Source organism: Homo sapiens, chromosome 8, assembly GCF_000001405.40.
Source record: "Homo sapiens chromosome 8, GRCh38.p14 Primary Assembly".
NCBI classification, from domain to species: domain Eukaryota; kingdom Metazoa; phylum Chordata; class Mammalia; order Primates; family Hominidae; genus Homo; species Homo sapiens.
In genome coordinates, this window is record NC_000008.11 from 94651697 (window position 1) to 94670299 (window position 18603).

Consider the following 18603-nt stretch of genomic DNA (forward strand, 5'->3'; position numbering starts at 1 on the left):
ACTTCCACCTCCCAGAATCAAGCGATTTTCCTGCCTCAGCCTCCCAGGTAGCTGGGACTATAGGAGCCCTCCACCTCGCCTGGCTGATTTTTGTATTTTTAGTAGTATTTAACCATATTAAACAGGCTGGTCTTGAACTCCTGACCTCAGGTTATCCACCCACCTCAGCCTCCCAAAGTTCTGGTTTTATAGGCGTGAGCCGCCACACTTGACCAGGAATTGAGTGTAGTTCTGGTTCTTATTTTTGGCACTTCTTTCCCTCTTTTGTCTTTGTATTTGTTCTAAAACGCCTTTTTTTTTTTTTTTTTTTTTTTGACAGAGTTTCTGTCTTGCCCATGCTGGAGTGCAGTGCGCAATCTTGGTTCACTGCAACCTTCACCTTCTGGGTTCAAGCAATTCTCCTGTCTCAGCCTCCCAAGTAGGTGAGATTACAGGCATGTGCCACCATGCCCAGCTAATTTTTGTATTTTTAGTAGGTACGGGGTTTCACCATGTTGGCGAGGCTGGTCTGGAACTCCTGACCTCAGGTGATCTGCCCTCCTCGGCTTCTCAAAGTGCTGGGATTACAGGCGTGAGCCACTGCGCCTGGCCCTCAACACATTTCTGATGTTGGTGTTAGGCCTTTGAGTTATTCCAGTTGCATTGTTGTCTGCTTTTGAATTATGTGATGCTAGCTGAGAAGACCTCATCTAGCAGGTAAACTGGATTGCATGTTGTAAGCTTTTTACTTAATCAAGTGAGGATGGTGAGGGTGTGAGATGATAGGGACGGGGGCTTCTGTGGTTTTTTTTTTTGAAATTATCTTAGATCCCTTACGGAAATTAATACTAGTTATCTCCTGCTGAAAGGACATTTGTGTAAATGGCTTCTTTTATTCATTTTCTTTTAAACCCATTTTTTTCCCCACTAATGTTGGATGGAATTACTTCCTGATTTCTTAACCTGCTTTTTGTTAGCTGTTTGTCAGGAACTTACTTATTCTCACTAATCAAGACTTCTAATATTGTGTTTACTTCCCTTTGCCAAGCATTTATTAAGATCTTATTTTTCTGAAAGTGTGGTAAGGAGGACAGGTGAAAAAAACTATCAATTGACTTCTTACTACATATGCCATGAACGGCTCAGTGGGGAGCTTTCATCCCCATTTTATCACTAGGGAAACTGAGGCTTAGAGGCTTTGTCTTTAAGTTATATGCTCTAGCATCCAACAATATACAAGGTGAAATATTTTAGAATGTATACAATCATTTGAGGCACGTTGGCTACCTCAAATAGGTTATCTCCCTTTTAAGTTAATATCCTGTGTTTCCTCGGCACATATCAAACCATTAAAGCAGTAAAGTTAATTTTGTAAAATATGTATTCCATGATAGGGTATTGCATTTGTATGTGCTGTTTGACGTGATTATGATTGCCATTTCACTAGGGCAAATTTCCATTATCAGGAAAAAAAAATCACTAAACTGCTCATGCCTACCCATTCAAAGGTTATTAGGGTGTGTATATTTCATCACTTCTTGGGGGGTGTAAAGGATTTGGGTGTGTGTGCACATATGTGTGCTCTATTATCAGTGTGTGACATTAGCCTGTTTTTCCTGTAGGTTACAATTGGGGATAATAGGATAGTAGTTAAGAACATGAACACTGGGGGCAACTTATTTGAATCTTCAGCCTCAGATTCCCCATCTTAAAATGGGTAAGACTATTGTATAAGGATTAATGAGATAATGTGTGCTGCCACTTAGCTGGTGGTTGGCCTGCCCCACACTCTGCAATGTTGACTGATCCTGTGGACCCCACCAGGTTGTCGGGTGTCTCAGAACAGGAAAAACGGCTGGCAAGGGACTTTGAAAAGGACTTCCTTATTGTTTTAAAACCTTATGTAAACCATTTTACACATATAAATTTTTTTAACCTTATGTGAGACTAGAGGTAGACCTTTCAAAGCATCAGCTACATGTTAGTACAGGTAAACTTGAAGGTTAGGAGTTTATTCTAACAGTGAAATGAGCTGGGGCTTTATAATTGTACAAACCTTCCCTGCCCTGCTGTAAAGGTGAAGGCAAACACCGAATCCTCATTGGTACTTTTCTGTGTATGAAAGGGATATATATATATATAAAATCAAGTATACAGTTAAGCTGGACCAGTAGTTGACCTTGTTAGCTGGAGGTGGAAGGAATTATCTCTGGCATCACATTGGCATAACATGAGCCAAATCGGCATGGACACTGGCCTGTCATCTGCAGTGAGTGAAGTGACTAGAAATACTGCATATTCCTTGCCAGCCCTCAGACTGATGTTAATTACGTGTGGTTTGTTTTAATTATAAAATATTTTGGCCTGGTACAGTGGCTCACGCCTGTAATCCCAGCACTTTGGGAGGCGGAGGCAGGTGGATAATGTGAGGTCAGGAGTTTGAGAACAGCCTGGCCAACATGGCGGAACCCCGTCTCTACTAAAAATACAAAATTATCTGGGTGTGGTGGTGGGTACCTGTAATCTCAGCTACTCAGGAGGCTGAGGCATGAGAATCGCTTGAACCTGGGTGGCGGAGGTTGCGGTGAGTCAAGATCGCACCATTTTACCCTAGCCTGGGCGACAGAGTGAGACTCCATCTCAAAAAAATAAAATATTTTACTTTTAAAATGGGAGTTTGGAAATTCCAAGTTAATCCTTTTGTTTTAGAAAGCTTCGGAAGACTTGTTACCAAGGAGTCTCCTTTTCCTAATTTGTTTATCCCATATAAATGTCTTTTTCCAAAGTAAAGTTTTTCATCTCCTTTGTTGAATGAGACCCTATCTCCATCTTCTTTCTTCTAGGGTATAATTGACTTACTAGGTTTGTTGGAAATCCTTCTGTGTGACTCTTCAGTACAATAATATCTCCAAGAAGTAATATTTGTTAGGTAGGGATCTTATTTTTTACCCTCTAAGAGTAAGAGGCTGGGTGCAGTGGCTCATGCCTGTAATCTCACCACTTTGGGAAGCTAAGGCAAGAGGATCACTGGAGCCCAGAAGTTCAGGACCAGCCTAAGCAACACAGGGAGACCCTGTCTCTACAAAAATAAATCTAAAAATTAGCTAGGTGCTTAAAAATAAGCACACTCCTGTGGTCCATGCTACTTGGGAGGCTGAGGTGGGAGGATCACTTGAGCCCAGGATGTCAAAGCTATAGTGAGCTGTAATCACGCCACTGCATTCAAGCCTGAAGATCCTGCCTCAAAAAAAAAAAAAGAAAAAAAAAGTAAGCTGAGAAGTAAGGTTTAAAACTAAGGTTGTATTCAACCTGAGAAAGCTGGTTGGGAGAAGACAAAACTAGGGTTTTAAGTATGTGTGTATCTGTGTCTGTGAGGTTTTTTGGGTTTTTTGTGTGTGTGTGTGTGTGTGTGTTTTGTTTTGTTTTGTTTAGTTTTTTTTGATACGGCGTCTCACCCAGGCTGGGGTGCAGTGGTGCGATCTCAGCTCATTGTGACCTCTGCCTCCTGGGTTCAAAGGATTCTCATACCTCAGCCTCCCAAGTAACTGCTGGAATTACAGATGTGCATCACCACACCTGGTTAATTTTTGTATTTTACTTTTAGTTTCACCATGTTGGCCAGGCTGGTCTCAAACTCCTGGTGTCAAGTGATCCACCCGCCTCGGCCTCCCTAAATGCTGGGATTACAGGGGTGAGCCACCACACTTGGCATCTTTTTTTTTTTTTTAATTTTATTTTTATATTTTTCACTCCTCTCAGCTCATACCTAGGTTTTAGATGTTTTTCCCCCGCATTTTATTGCTGGTGTTAAATAGTTTTGGTTGTCTTGACTTCTCATTGTATTTTCTTATGGTGACATTTTTTGTTTCCTTCAAAGCTCACTTTAAAATATATCAGGTTATATGTAGAACTTACATTTAAAATTATGCAACCAAACTGGGCACGGTGGCTCAGGCCTGTAATCCCAGCATTTTGGGAGGCTCAGGTGGGCAGATCACTTGAGCTCAGGAGTTTGAGACCAGCCTGACCATCTGGTGAAACCCTGTCTCTACAAAAAATACAAAAATTAGCCAGGCATAGTGGCATTCGTCTGTAATACCAGCTACTTGGGAGGTCGAGGTTGGACAATCATTTGAACCCGGGAAGCGGAGGTTGCAGTAAGCCGAGATCACGCCACTTCACTCCAGCTTGGGCAACAGTGAGACCCTGTCTCGAAAAAATAAATTAGGCAGACAGCTAGGTTTGGTGGCACACTCTTGTAATGCCAGCTACTCCAGAGGCTGAAGCTGGAGGGTCGCTTGAATCCCAGGAGTTCTGGGCTGCAGTGCGGTATGCCCATCCAGTATCCACAGTAGGTTCATCATCAATATGGCGACCTCCGGGAGTGGAGTGGAGGGTTGCCTAAGGTGGGGTGAACTGTCCCAGAAACAGAGCAGGTTAAAACTCATGCTCTTGTGCTGATCAGCAGCGGGATCGCACCTATGAATAGCCACCACACTCCAGCCTAGGCTACATAGCAGGACCCTAGTCTCAAAAAAAAAAAAAAAAAAAAAATTTTTTTGAGACGGAGTCATCGTCTGTCGCCCAGGCTGGAGTACAGTGGCGCGATCCCGGCTCACTGCAAGCTCCGCTTCCCGGGTTCAAGCCATTCTCCTGCCTCAGCCTCCCGAGTAGCTGGGACTACAGGCGCGTGCCACCACGCCCGGCTAATTTTTTGTATTTTTTTAGTAGAGACGGGGGTTTCACCATGTTAGCCAGGATGGTCTCGATCTCCTGACCTTGTGATCCGCCCACCTTGGCCTCTCAAAGTGCTGAGATTACAGGCGTGAGCCACCACGCCCGGCCCATAAAGGTAACTCTTTTAAGAGTAACATCTCTATCACATGATTTTAGAAAATTCAGTTTTTAGTTAGAAGACTAATAAACTTTTCTCTTTTTTTCTTGCTGTATTTTATCAGCTACTCCTTTGTTCATTAGCATAGGTATTATAAGTCTGGCAGCATGAAATTGTGTTACTATACAATAAATGAAAGTAAACAAAAGGAATGGATTTAATGTCTTGTGACATTTTTCTTATGGCAAGGAAAAATGGCTTTCAGATGACACTTCAAATTGGAGTAATTATAAAATAGTTTAAACTTGTCTGAGTTAATGTATTACCTTATTAAAAACTTAGTTTAAAAAGATATTTACAAGTAAAAATTGGATGTTCTGAAACCAGATGTGACCATTTTTAGGTAATTGGGAAGGATAACTTTTTAAAGTAGATAAGCTAATATTGATAAACCATAAAATTTCTCTCTGAATTATATCCTCAGCTAATGTAAGTGTGGATTAAATCCTCAAGCCTGTTTCACCAGTGGTGGTCATAAGGAAAGTGTCCCTCCTGTTAATATATAGACCAAGTCTCTCTAGACTCCTCTAACATGCATATAAAGTTTTACTTGCTCAGTTGCAGCCTGAAATGATGAGTTTTGTTCCCACTGCCTCTGCCTGTACCCTTCCTCATTTCCTTGAGGCATTTCTCATTTGTGAAGCTGGCTAAGCCTGTTTGTACTGTTGTGACTGCCTTGAGGGCAGAATGAGTAAGTTGCATGAGGAGCTATAAATTAGGAGGCACAGACTCATCTTTCCTTTCCTCAAGATCAGACGTGCAGCAAGTAATCCAATATATACTTATAAATTGATAAGGGAAAGAATTGCTACTAAAACTTTTTTTCTCATTCCTCTCTGTTACTCGTTTTCAGTGATGCTAAGGATCATAGATTGAAGAAACTGGCCTATTGAGGCTGTGTGCGTGTGTGTGTGTGTGTGTGTGTGTGTGTGTGTAAGGAGATGGCTTGGGCATTCAGGAGGTTGGGTGACTTTTACAAGTTGTTACACAGCTCAGCACCACTCATCCTGGTGTGACGCTGATCCTGGTGTGCGATGGCTCAAAGGGAGACATGTTGGGACGTGTTATGTGGCACCAAGGTAGTAGCCAAATGTCAAGAACATTTTCTGAGTTAAAAAGTAGAATTCATTAAAATGATTCTTCAGCTACAAGTCTATTTCTAACCAGGCAGGAATGCTTTACATTTTTACTTTTGATCTCTGTCTTCTTCAGTTGGCTTTTATCTATGAATTTATAAAACTTCTCTCACACTATTGCTCAATAGTCAAATCATAGCTTTCGTGTAATCCCACCTCCATTACCCATCAGCCAGGTGACTGGGTGAACTACTGAACATCACTCAATCCCAGTGGTTTGTTTGCGATGGAGTCTTGCTCTGTTACCCGGGCTGGAGTGCAGCGGCCATGATCTCGGTTCACTGCAACCTCTGCCTCCAGGGTTCAAGCGATTTTTGTGCCTCAGCCTCCTGAGTAGCTGGGATTATAGGCGTCCGCCACCACATCCGGCTAATTTTTGTATTTTTAGTCGAGACAGGAGTTCACCATGTTGGCTAGGCTGATCTCGAACTCCTGACCTCCAAGTGATCCACCCACCTCGGCCTCCCAAAGTGCTGGGATTACAGGCGTGAGCCACCATGCCTAGCCTCACTAAATCTTAGTTCTACAACTGTTTGGTTTTGCTGTAATTTATCTGTCAGGGTTATTATGAGAATTGGAAGAAATAGGGAGTGGTTGGCACAAAATGGTGTCCAGTAAATGCCACCATTTAAGTCAGCAGATCCTTGGAAGCTATAGAGATGTTGATAGGTGGAAAGAGATCAGAGGAAGATGGGGGCCTACACCCAGGAAATGTTACAACAGTCGAGAAAATAGCATAACATTTTAGGAATAGTATCTAATGAACTCTTAAATTGACGATTGTGGCCTAGAACAGTTTTGGTGGGTCATTTGTGGCCTAATTTGGTTAGGGGATTAAGATAAGAGTGCTTTCCTTATAGGGTGGTACCTGAGCACTGTTGAGAAGGCTAGGTAATCCTGCCATTAATAGATGAGAGGAAAGCTTAATTTGAATGGAATATACTTTTATACTCCTTTCAAGTCTAAATTTTCCCCATATTCTTTTTTGAGATTGATTGACAAACATTCCTGTGGCATCCTTTGTATCTGGCCATCTTTTTGCAATCTCCATTCTTCTGTAATAGGTCACAGGTCAATAACCGTTTGCTATAAGGGGCTAGAAAGTCAATGTTAGGTTTTGCGGAGCACATTAGGGTCTGCTCACCCAGGTGCACCTTGTTTTAGTGTGCTTCACTTTATTGTGATTCACAGTTGTTGTATTTTGTCTTTTTTTAAATTTTCATCTTTTATTTTTGAGACAGCATCTTGCTCTGTCACCCAGGCTGGAGTGCAGTGGTGTACTTTTCGACCTCCCAGGCTCAAGCAATCCTCCCACCTCAGCCTCCTGAGTAGATGCAATGACAGGCCAATTTGTTATTTTGTAGAGATGGGGACTCGCTATCTCAGGCTGGTCTTGAATTCCTGGGTTCAAATGATCCTCCCACCTCGGCCTCCCAAAGTGCCGGGATTACAGGCGTGAGCCACCGTGTCTGGCCAGTTTTGTTTTGTTTAAAAAAAAAGAAAATGGAAGGTTTGTAGCAACTCTGCATTCAGCAAGTCTATTGACACCATTTTTCCAACAACATTTGCTCACTTGTCTCTCTGTCACCTTTCAAACTTTTTCATTATTCTGTTGTGGCGATCTGTAATCAGTGATCTTTGTTACTGGTGTAATTGTTTTGGGGCACCATAAAGCAGGGCCATATTAGGTGGCAAACTTAATTGGTCAGTGTTGTGTGTGTTCGGCTGCTCCAACTGGTGGTTACCCCATCTCTCTCCCTCTCCTTGGGACTCCCTATTCCCTGAAACACAATATTGAAATTAAGCCAATTAACCCTACAACAGCATCTAACCTTTCAAATGAAAGTAAGAGTTTCATATCTCTCACTTTAAATCAAAAGCTAGACATGATTAAGCTTAGTCAGGAAGGCATGTCAAAAGCTAAGGGAGGCCAAAAGCCAGGCCTTATGCACCAAATGATTTGTCAAGTTGCGTAAAGGAAAATTTCTTGAATATTCCAGTGAATATATGAATGATAAGAAAGCAAAACATTATAGGGTGTTACCTGAGCAAAGATGAGAAGGCTGGGTACCACTTGTCATTTATAGAAGAGAGGAAAGTGTAATTTGAATGGAATATACTTATTGCTATGATATGGAGAGAGTGTGAGTGGTTTGGATAGATCAAACTAGCTACCACATTTCCTTAAGCCAAAGCGCAATCTGGAGCAAGGCCTTAAGTCTCTTCAATTCTATGAAGGCTGAGAGAAGTGAGGAAGCTGCAGAAGAAAAGCTAGCAGAGATTGGTTTATGAGATTCAAGGAAATAAGTCAGCTCTACGACATAATTCAAAGTGAAGCAGAAAGTGCTTATGGAGAAGTTGCAGTGAGTTACCCAGAAGATTTAGCTAACTGATGAAGGCAGCTACACTAAGCAGATTTTCAATGTACTAGAAACAGCCTTCTCTTAGAAGATGATGCCATCCTGGACTAACATAGCTAGAGAGGATAAATCAATGCTTTGCTTCAAAAGCTGATTCTCTTGTTATAGGCTAATGTAGCTGGTGACTTTTAAGTTAAAGCTAATGGTCATTAACCGTCCTAAAAATCCTAGCGTTCTGAAGAATTATGCTAAATTGGCCGGGGTGGTGACTCATGGCTGTAATCCCAGCCCTTGGGCAGGCCAAGGTAGGTAGATCATTTGAGGCCAGGAGTTCAAGACCAGCCTGGCCAACATGGTGAAACCCCATCTCTACTAAAAAATACAAAAATGAGGTCGGGTGCAGTGGCTCACGCCTATAATCCCAGCACTTTAGGATACTGAGGCAGGTGGATCAGCTGAGGTCAGGAGTTCGAGACCAGCCTGGCCAACATGGTGAAACCCCATCTCTATAAAAATACAAAAATTAGCTGGGTATGGTGGCGCGTGCCTGTAATTCCACCTGCTCGGGAGGCTGAGGTAGAGGTTGCAGTGAGCTGAGGTTGTGCCACTGCATTCCAGCCTGGGCAACAGAGCGAGACTATCTCAAAAAAAAAAAAAAAAAAAAAAAAAAAAAAAAAACCAAAACAAACAAACAAACAAAAAACCAAAGAAAACCAAGAATTACAGTAAGTCAACTCTGCCTGTGCCCTCAAACAGCATCACAGGCTACCGAATCTTTGATGAAAGGAAGAGGCAATTGATGTGGCAAACTTCATTGTTGTCTTATTTTCAGAAATTGCCACAGCCATCCCAACGTTTAGCAACCATCACCCTGATCTATGAGTAGCCATCAACATCTAGGTAAGATCCTCCACCAACAAAAAGATTGACTCACTGAGGGCTCAGATGATTAACATGTTTTAGCAACAAAGTTGTTCTGTTGTTTTTTATTTTTGGAGACAGAGTCTACCTCTCGCCCAGGCTGGAGTGCAGTGGGGTGTTCTCAGCTCACTACAACCTCCACCTCCCGGGTTCAAGCGATTCTCTTGCCTCAGCCTCCTGAGTAGCTGAGATTACAGGCATGCACCACCACGCCTGGTTAATTTTGGTATTTTTAGTAGAGATGGGGTTTCACCATATTGGCCAGGCTTGGTCTCGAACTCCTGGTCTCAAGAGATCCTCCCGCCTCGGCATCCCAAAGTGCTGGGATTACAGGTGTGAGTCACTGTGCCCATCTGCAACAAAGCATTTTTGAATTAAGGCATGTACATTTTTTAAAAGACATAATGCTATTGAATACTTAGAACAGTCAAAACATAACTTTTATATGTAGTGGGAAACACAAAAAATTGTGTGACTTGCTTTATTGTGATATTCACTTTAATGCAGTGGTGTAGAACCAAGCCTACCATATTTTCAAGGTATGCCTCTATTTGATGGAAATACATCCTTATTTTAGAGAGATTCGCAAAACTTCATGTGAATTCCTGGTTTCACCCTCAAACCAAGTTTGAGCTATGTGTTTCAAAGAGTATACTTTTGGTAAAGAAGCACATTGGCCTGTGTTGGCTCTGAGTGCTTGAATTGTTTCCAAAATTTGCTGTCTAGAACTAGCATCTGCTGTCATCAAAGGTGGACTATCCTACAGGGCTCCAAAAGTGTTCTATAATAGAATTTCTAAGCAAAAGTGGCATTGTGGAAGTAATGTCACATCAATAATCTGTGGTGTCCATTTCAAACATTAGGCCAAAAAAAAAGTCATTTAATACCTTGTAGTGTTGATAATGTCACCATATCATGAAGTCGGCATGGTCATTGCCTTGTGTGTGCTGTAAAGATTCAGAGGATGAAATATTCTAATTAACTTTGTTGCATACTTTGATTCAAAATGAAATGAAAATGCTCAGTATTCATTTGCTACAACTGGGTAAATAAAAATTGTATTCCTGGTAATATCTCAGCACTGGATTGATTTGCCTCTTTTACCCAAAAGGGCAGTTGGAGCCTAAGTTGAATGACTGACTGATGGGAGGCAGCCATTCTGAGATTTCTAAAGGAAGCTCAGCTAGATCCATCTTCTTCCTCTTGGCTTGGTATAGGTTTAATTTTGATTTAGAAGTAACCTGATTTTACCTTTCCAAAGTGTTTCCTTAATTTAATCTCACAGATTTAAATTTTGAGAAGAGTAGTTCAGTCTCTCGATATGGAGCCTCTCAAGTTGAAGATATGGGGAATATAATTTTAGCAATGATTTCAGAGCCTTATAGTAAGTATTGCTTTTATAGTAGTGCAGTCCCAGAATTCATACTATTTTTCTCTTACCTATACTCAAATTTCCTCCTACAACTTTGTCTCCCTAATCACTAAAATGATGACTTTTATGTTCTCATTTTTAGATCACAGGTTTTCAGATCCAGAGAGAGTGAATTACAAGTTTGAAAGTGGAACTTGGTAAGTGCTTGAGTACTATTTATTTGAGCTTTTTAACTTGTTTTTTTTTTTTGTCTGTTTGTTTGTTTTTGAGACAGAGTCTTGCTCTGTCGCCCAGGCTGGAGTGCAGTGGCACGATCTCAGCTCACTGCAAGCTCCGCCTCCCGGGTTCATGCCATTCTCCTGCCTCAGCCTCCCGAGTAGCTGGGACTACAGGCTCCCGCTACCATACCTGGCTAATTTTTTTGTAGTTTTAGTAGAGATGGGGTTTCACCATATTAGCCAGGATGGTCTCAATCTCCTGACCTCGTGATCTGCCCGCCTCGCCTCCCAAAGTGCTGGGATTACAGGCGTGAGCCACCTCGCCCGGCCTTTAACTTGTTTTTGTTCATATTGTGCCTCTTAATTCTTGTTATATTTGAGAAACTTTACTAATCCTTTTAGCTATCCTTTCTTGCTGTTCGGTCATCTGTAAAAGAAGGTTGTATTACTTAGAGCTTGATATTGGGAATAAAATGTAATGACTTACTGGCATCTTTAGTCACCCTGACCTTAAGTATATTATATGCTCATATCTGTGATTGTTATTTTGGTCTCCCCAAACTATCCGATCTTTCATTTAGAAAATTTCCAAAGGAGAAATTGTAGGCTTTAATAGAGTTCACAATTTTTACTGAGATAAAATTTTACGTACATTCTATAAGTACATTTATTTATTTATTTATTTTAGTTTTGAGACACTTGCTCTGTTGCCCAGCTGGAATATCGCGGTGTGATCTCTGCTCACTGCAACCTCCGCCTCCCGGGTTCAAGCGATTCTTGTGCCTCAGCCTTCCCAGTAGCTGGGATTACAGATGTGTACCATCATGCCTGGCTAAGTTTTGTATTTTTAGTAGAGATGGGGTTTTGCCGTGTTGACCAGGCTGGTCTCAAACTCCTGGCCTCATGTGATCTACCCACCTTGACATCCCAAAGTGCTGGGATTACAGGTGTGAGCCATTGTGCCTGGCTATATAGGTTTCTACTTTAAAGCCAAGGAAATAGCTGGGGAGAAGTATGAAGTGGTGTCTGTTAGTGATCGCAGGTAGACCTGTTTGTAAATCACTCTAATGAATTGAGTGTGTGCTTGGTCTCTGAAGTGAATAGAAACTTCTGACAGCTTTGCCCATAGAGAGAGACTTTGAGGCCGATTAGTTGTGGAGAAAGTGACTTATTAAGAAAATGTCCTAGGAGAACTGAAAATGTGAACGTGGGAGGGATAAGACATCAAAAGGTGTCAAAATATATAATAAGTGATTTGCAAATGAGTCATTAAGGTGTAGGGACTCACAGGCATTTCTATGGACATTCTCTGGGATGGCTCCCTGGTTTGATCTGGGGGATATTTTAATGGCAGACTTCCTACCATGCACACACATTCCTCATGTGGGTTAATTGTCAGCTTTATTCTGATCCTAAATTCGGCTGCTAAACTGGATTTAAACCCCACATGTATACTGTCTAGATTTGAGAATGAATTCAAACCTATCTTTTGGGGTTCTAGGAACTTTCAGGACATGAGGGTGCCAAGCAAACATTTCCTCAGCTTTTTTTTTTTTTTTTTTTTTGAGAGGGAGTCTTGCTCTATTGCCCAGGCTGGAGTGCAGTGGCACAATCTCAGCTCACTGCAGCCTCCACCTCCCAGGTTCAAGTGATTTTCCTGCCTTGGCCTCCCAAGTAACTGGGATTATAAGCGTACACCACCATGCCCGGCTAATTTCTGTAATTTTAGTAGAGACGGGGTTTTACCATGTTGGCCAGGCTGGTCGCAAACTCCTGACCTCGGGTGATCCACCTACCTCAGCCTCCCAAAGTGCTGGGATTACAGACATAAGCCACCACGCCTGGCCTTCCTCAGCTTTGATAGATAGATGGTTTGCTGAGTGAGCTAGCTGTGTTGGGCCTGCACAGGCAGCCATGTTTCTATAATGAACCACCTAAACAGTACTTTGAGTTGTACCCACATAATTTTTGAGGTTATAAGGAAAATCAAGTAGTATTGCTAGTCTGTCTGAACACCAAATAATACATCCTGTGTAACTAGGCAGTTGTCTTGCAGGGGGTAATAGGTGTCTGACTTGCTAGCATTTATCATGCAACCTGAAGTTTTGCTTCATCCACAGCAGCAAGATGGAACTTATTGATGATAACACCGTAGTCAGGGCACGAGGTTTACCATGGCAGTCTTCAGATCAAGATATTGCAAGATTCTTCAAAGGACTCAATATTGCCAAGTTGGTTTTCTTAAATATCTATTTTACTTAACAATCCCAAAGGGATAATGGATTTTCTATCTTTTTTTTCCTCACTGTATTTTTTTTTCTACCTGCTGTCTGTTTTATTATTCTCAAAGGGGAGGTGCAGCACTTTGTCTGAATGCTCAGGGTCGAAGGAACGGAGAAGCTCTGGTTAGGTTTGTAAGTGAGGAGCACCGAGACCTAGCACTACAGAGGCACAAACATCACATGGGGACCCGGTATATTGAGGTATGTCCTCAAAACCTGAACCCCTGGACATCGTGAATGAGAATTAACATAGGACGGAAGGCTCAGAAACACTAACTTCTCTGTCTTTTCTCAGGTTTACAAAGCAACAGGTGAAGATTTCCTTAAAATTGCTGGTGGTAAGTGCCTTTTACATAATGTGGCTTTAGTTAATAAGAATCTAAAAATTTTGCATACTTAAATTTAGCAAGAGTAGGTGAATAGGGTCATGAATGGTTTTTATTTTCTAATGGAACATGGGAATAGATTTTCTTCCCCAGAGGTAGAAGCTTCCGATAATAACAGTGAGCTTAATGTATAACACTTGTCCTAAGGCTTGAGCCAACTTACTATAGTTAAATAGCCATTAAAAATAGTACTATACAAAGGTGAAAAGGTGATATGAAGTTGTATGCATATGGAAAGGCTAGGTTTTTTTGTTTTGTTTTTTTGGAGACAGAGTTTCGCTCTGTCACCCAAACTGGAGTGCGGTGGCACAATCTCAGCTCGTTGCGACCTCTGCCTCCCAGGCTCAAGCAATTCTTGTGCCTCCGCCTCCGTAGTGGCTGGGTTTACAGGTGTGTGCCACCATGCCTGGCTAACTTTTTGTATTTTTAATAGAGATGGGGTTTCACCATGTTGGCCAAGCTGGTCTGGAACCCCTGGCTTCAAATTGATCCTCCTGCCTCAGCCTCCCAAAGTGCTGGGATTACAGGCCTGAGCCCCTGTGCCCGGCCAGGAAATGATATTCTTGAAAAGAGTCAGAAAACTGCTTTCAAACGGCCACGCTGCAATACCTGGGATTGTTGCACATGTGCTTCTAATTTTTCTCTAAACTTAACACATGAGTCACCAGAAACATGGTAGTTTTGGGTCTCGTAGTATTTTTGGATGTGTATTTACAGTAATATGGTTAAAAACAGGGTGGAACAGATGTGGTTTTTATCCAGTTATTTAGTGATTAATAACTTTAAAGGAAGTAACATGCATAAAACGTTGACTGCTTTTTGTCTGATTTTTTTCTATATATATATCTACTTTGTAAGTTTCTGTTGCTCATTCATATTGTTTTATAATTTCCTTTTAATGTATATTAACATCATCCTACATTACTCAATTTTCTTAAATGTTAATTGCTACATAGTATTATATGTACCATAATATTTTGAAACATCTCTGTTGGAGCTGGGCACATGGCTTGTGCCTGTAATTCCAGCTACTTGGGAGGCTGAGACAGGGAGGATTGCTTGAGCCTTGGTGTATTTTGAGAATGGCCTGAGCAACATAGTGAGATTCTGTCTGTAATAAATAAAATATCCCTGTTGAGCATTTAGAACTCATTTCCAACTTTTGACTTTAATATGTTGTCAATATTTTAAAATCTCTGTATGCGCCACTCATTGGGATAAATCTCTAAAAGCAGGATAGCTGAATCAAAGAATTTTGGACCTTTTCAACAGCCATTTGACACCTATTGCCAAATTATATGAAGATGACTTTCACTGTGTAAAAGAACATTTGTATTCCTACATTACAGAGCCTGGGTGAAAATTTTGCAGCTATAGAACTTACCGGAACAGCATCCTATTAACACAATCTGCTGGTATATTTTTGCTCCAGTTCATCTTTAGATAAACTCTAAGGCTTCAAAATTCAGGACTTCAAATTTAGGAGCATTTCCAGAGTTCCCAAGCAATGTTTGATATTGTTAGGGGTCAAATATATTTGGGGTTGCTGTGGTTTTACCTAAATCCTGACATTTCATGATAGATGCATTGCAACTTGGAGATGGCAAAGTCAATTGTTTATATCATTTCTGGGATTTCATTGTATATGGGCACTGCGATAAGAATTTGCTATTAGGGGCTGGGCTTGGTGGCTCATGCCTTTAATGCCAGCACTTTGGAAGGCCAAGGCAGGCGGATCACTTGTGGTCAAGAGTTCGAGGCCAGCCTGGCCAATATGGTGAAACCCCATCTCTACTAATAATACACAAATTAGCCAGGAGAGGGGTGTGTGTGTGTGTGTGTGTGTGTGTAATCCCAGCTACTCTGGGAGGCCGAGGCAGGAGAATCAACTTGAATCTCTGCGGCGGTGTTTGCAGTGAGCCGAGACCGTGCCACTGCACTCCAGCCTAGGAGACAGAGTGAAACTGTGTCTCAAAAAAAAAACAAAAAAGAAGCAAAAAGAAGAACGTGCTATTAGGGAAAATGTTACTAGTGTATGAGTTTCAAAGATATGCATTTAAGTATTTGCTATATGACAACACTGTACAAAATGTTTTATGTTGGGCAGAATGTTGATCAATATTGAAAGTAGGTACCCCATATATTCATTATACTATTCTTTTTACTAAGAATGTTTGAACCTTTCTTAATTAAAAAAAAAAAAGGTAATTGAGTTACTTGCAGATGGTTTTCTTGGGAGCAAAAGAGTAATCAGGAAAAGATTTTTTTAACCCAAAGTGCTTTATATCTATTACCCTACTTAATTTTCATAATTTATGACATAGGCAATCTTACAGACAAGAAAAGTAAGGCACGGAGTTGAACTTGACTAAGATTATGCCCTAGTAAGCAGTAAAGCCAAGATTGGACCCAGGCATTCTGGCTCCAGGACCTGTGCCTTTAACTACCACAATGACTTACTAGTGATTGGCCCGTGATTTAATTGTCTTGCCAGCTTCCTAAATTAAGAAGGATGTTTTATGAAAAAGGGGAGGAGTTTCAAATTTAGAAAATTCTGATTTCTAGGATGTTATTTTGCGTTCAGTAGGAGTATGGGTCTTCATTATGAACTCAAGACATTGGCAGGACTTTTATCACTTTAAAATCGGTAAAGTTGATGTCTTAACTATTTCTCTCCCTGCTTCCTAATATTTGTTTTCCCTAGGTACTTCCAATGAGGTAGCCCAGTTTCTCTCCAAGGAAAATCAAGTCATTGTCCGCATGCGGGGGCTCCCTTTCACGGCCACAGCTGAAGAAGTGGTGGCCTTCTTTGGACAGCATTGCCCTATTACTGGGGGAAAGGAAGGCATCCTCTTTGTCACCTACCCAGATGGTAGGCCAACAGGGGACGCTTTTGTCCTCTTTGCCTGTGAGGAATATGCACAGAATGCGTTGAGGAAGCATAAAGACTTGTTGGGTAAAAGATACATTGAACTCTTCAGGAGCACAGCAGCTGAAGTTCAGCAGGTTGGTTTTAAAAACAAGTATGTTGTACCTTTGCATTAATTTCTGTTCTTTATCTCTGAAAATAGTCCTACATTGCTCATTATGTTAAAATAAAACTGGCAAAATACTAAAAGTGTAACTGCATGAAAATAGTCTTGATTCTATAACCAAGAGATAGCCGCTGTTATCCTGTACACACACACAACACATACTACGTATTTTTACAGAAATGGGATACTGCTATAGCTGGATTTTTGTATTCTGTTTTAAAACTATGAAAGCTTACCTATGTCTGAAAAGTTTCATCTTTAAATATCTCATGGAAGTGCATACTTTATCTAGAAATTCCTCTAGTGTACACTTAGATTGATTTTTTTCTACCAGAAGAAATTTCTATGTAAAATGCTTAAAAACCTGTCATCAATTTGATTTCTGTAGCATTGGATATAGAGTGTGAGCTTTTAAGGTTTTTAATGTGTTGCCAAATGTTATTTCCCAAAAGGCTTCATCGGTTTCATACCCTGCTGGTGAGCTCTGTCCTGTTTTACTAGCTTTCAGCATGTGTGTGTGTGTGTGTGTTTGAGATGGGGTCTTGCTCTGTCACCCAGGCTGGAGTGCAGTGGCGCAATCTCTGCTCACTGCAACCTCCGCCTACCCCAGTTGAAGCAATTGTCCTGCCTCAGCCTCTGAGTAGCTGGCATTACAGCTGCCTGCCACCACACCCAGCTAAGTTTTGAATTTTTAATGGAGATGGGGTTTCGCGGCAGGCTGTTCTCGAACTCCTGACCTCAGATGATCTCCCACCTCGGGCTCCCAAAGTGCTGGAATTACAGGCATGAGCCACCACGCCTGGCAACTTTCAGCATTTTTGAGGCACAAAATGAGGCAATCACTTCCTCAAAATGTACTAAGATCTAGGCATTAAACCATTTATAGAATCTCAAGCTTTTCGACTGTTCTTGACTTGCCAGCTACCAATTGAACATGTCTTCAGGGGTCAGTTTGCCTTTGTAGCATAAATGGTATAGACTGCTTTTCCAACTTGCTCTATTTGTGTCCCATAGTAGAATAGTGATTCATATGATTCCACAGGTCTGCTTTGTAAGTATTTAGGATACTTACTTAATTATTTCTGTGAGTTCATCAGAGTTTTGTGTAGCTTCTGCATCCCATTATATGTTGTGATTTTAAATAATTATGCAAAGTTAAGAACCTTTTTACCTACTAGAATGCCAAAATTATTTTTGTACTTAAAATAAGTATAATTGAAATTCTAAATTATTTTTGTGTTCCATTGTACTGGTGCTCTTGAACCCTAAACTAGCTACATTCTTACAATTTAAAATTTAAATCTGGCCAGGCGCAGTGGCTCACGCCTGTAATCCTAGCACTTTGGGAGTCCAAGGCGAGCGGATTGCCTGAGCTCAGGAGTTCAAAACCAGCTTGGGCAACAAGGTGAAACTCCATCTCTGCTGAAAATACAAAAAAAAATTAGGCAGTCATGGCAGTGTGCGCCTTTAGTCCCAGCTACTCGGGAGGCTGAGGCAGGAGAATCGCTTGAACCCGGGAGGTGGAGATTGCAGTGAACCGAGATCACGCTGCACTCTAGCCTGGGCGACCAAGCAAGACTTTGTCTCCCGCTACCAAAAAAAAAAAAAAAAAAAAAATTTATACCTTTTTGAAAATGTCATAAGTGCTGAATCTCTAAAATGTGCTTGAGTTTTCAAACATGACAAACATTCTTCCCAAACCAGGAGAAAAAACTCGATGTGGTTGCAGATCTTTATTTGGAAAGAGAGTTTGTCTTATGAAATCATGGCCTAGAATAAGCTACTGCAGAGCCTGGGCTACTCTGTTGGTTTGGAAATAGAGTAGGCTGCCTCTCTATGATTCTACTATGAGTTGCTTTTGGGTGTGCATTTTCTCTACTTCTCCATCCTTCTTGATTTATTTAATAAGTTTTGAACTAGTCATAGGTTCTTCCACTGTCTTTTCTTCATTACTAGTCATTTTATTCAGTAAATATTTGAGCACCTCTTAATTGTCAGGTATTATGAGATGCTTCACCAT

General features: G+C 41.2%; 1 protein-coding gene across 7 annotated transcripts in view; it reads left to right on the forward strand.

Annotated features, from left to right (window-relative positions):
• ESRP1 (epithelial splicing regulatory protein 1) overlaps positions 1–18603 on the forward strand; it is a 66293-nt gene that overhangs the window by 10523 nt on the left and 37167 nt on the right. For all 7 annotated transcript variants that reach the window (NM_017697.4, XM_005250991.4, NM_001122825.2 and 4 more), the window contains exons 5-10: positions 10576–10674; positions 10805–10859; positions 13001–13111; positions 13231–13363; positions 13458–13500; positions 16253–16554. In NM_017697.4, coding sequence (NP_060167.2) covers positions 10576–10674; positions 10805–10859; positions 13001–13111; positions 13231–13363; positions 13458–13500; positions 16253–16554 — 743 coding nt within the window. The remainder of the gene's footprint in view (positions 1–10575; positions 10675–10804; positions 10860–13000; positions 13112–13230; positions 13364–13457; positions 13501–16252; positions 16555–18603) is intronic.